Source organism: Homo sapiens, chromosome 3 (genome assembly GCF_000001405.40).
Source record: "Homo sapiens chromosome 3, GRCh38.p14 Primary Assembly".
NCBI lineage: Eukaryota > Metazoa > Chordata > Mammalia > Primates > Hominidae > Homo > Homo sapiens.
In genome coordinates, this window is record NC_000003.12 from 163,752,461 (window position 1) to 163,753,935 (window position 1,475).

A 1,475-nucleotide genomic window follows, 5' to 3' on the forward strand; every position below is an offset into this window, starting at 1 on the left:
GTACTGTGCGCTGGGCTGCAATCTCAGGGATATAGCCTCACAGACATGTTAAGCCTCAAGAATTGGTGGCCTCAGTGGAGAGTGCCCACAGTCACCTCAGCTCCTCTCTTGAGTGTTTTCCATCACCTTGTTTAGAGCTTGTCCCCGCTCTAGAGACACTTTGCTGTTCTTCCTTTTCAGGCTTATAGGACCAACAGATATAGCAACTAAGATCCAGACTATAGCAGTGACTAGTTGAGAGTCATTTACCAAGGGACATCAACTTAAAAGACAAGCAAACAAAGAAAAAAATGTACTTTAGATCTTCTCCTCCCTTCAAAGTAGCAGGTAAAATAGAAAATTGATAAGGGCTAAATCTATTCTGGGATCCAACAAATGACACTAGACAATCTGTGCGTCTATTTGAGCAAATTCCTGATTGAATAATGAAGATGCTAAGGACAACTAGAAACTGGAGAAATTTCAGAATATTTCTCATTAGAGCAGAGTGAAAATAGCAAGATGGCACAATAGGAGGTCCCTAGCTTTAGCCCTCCTCACAAAGAGTTTACGTAGCAACTACTCACAGACAAAAAAATGTCTTTGTGAAAATCCCAGAAACTGGAGATAAAGATGAAGCACCCTCTTGGACCACAAAACCTAAGAAAAGCCACATAAGAGGGCTCAGAGGAACATATTTATTTTGATGGCATTGCCTCTTCCTCAGGCAGGCAGAGCACCACACTGAGAGGGTTCGCCTAGGCCCACATTTCCTCCAGTAGAACAAAGAGAGCCCAAGGCATACATTCAGCTTCTTCAGCATTCTGAGGAACTTCCTGGGAGGCCTACTTCTGTCTTGCCTTACAAAGAAATCTGTGAAATCAGCAGGGCTAGACTACCTTTTGTCAGCTAGAAACAAAGAACAGGGACAAGGCTTACAACAGCCAGCACTGGGTCTTGGTAATGGCACCACATTTTTGCTAGAAGCATTGTATAAACAGTGAGAAAAGTCAGATGCTTCAACCACCCACACAGCTGAGCCATGGCATCATCATATCAGGAATCACAATCAACAGTTCTGACCAGCTTGGGTTGGTAGCCAGTACCCTGGTCCAGCTTTAGAGTGCAGGCTTGACTCAGGCTGTGAGCTAAGCCAGTAACCCCACTACTTTCAAAGCATAGCTTCTAGCCACTCTTGACCAAAGAGCTCAAACAGAAACCCCACCAAACATTGGAGCATAGTCTACAGCTCTGCCCAGACAGAAAACCTAGCCAATAACCGTGATCTACTGTGGGGCCCGCCCTGGGCCCACACAATCAGAGAGCCCAGCTAATTATCTGGATTGCCTGTGGAGCCCATGCTACAGAAAAAATAAACAGTGGAGCCCAGCCCACAGCCCCACCCATTTGCTGAGCACAATCTGTGACTATGCCTCAGCAGGAAGTCCAGCTACTGACCTCAACCAATCACAGAGTATAACCTGGAGCCACACCAG

At 45.8% G+C, this 1,475-nt stretch overlaps 1 annotated feature.

Moving 5' to 3' along the window:
* Nucleotides 678-1,178: an enhancer, noted in NCBI's record as "H3K27ac hESC enhancer chr3:163470926-163471426 (GRCh37/hg19 assembly coordinates)". NCBI's record gives its function as "activates a minimal SCP1, AML or CMV promoter by ChIP-STARR-seq in naive H9 embryonic stem cells {active_cell/tissue: H9 hESC(naive)}" and the evidence as "EXISTENCE:reporter gene assay evidence [ECO:0000049][PMID:30033119]".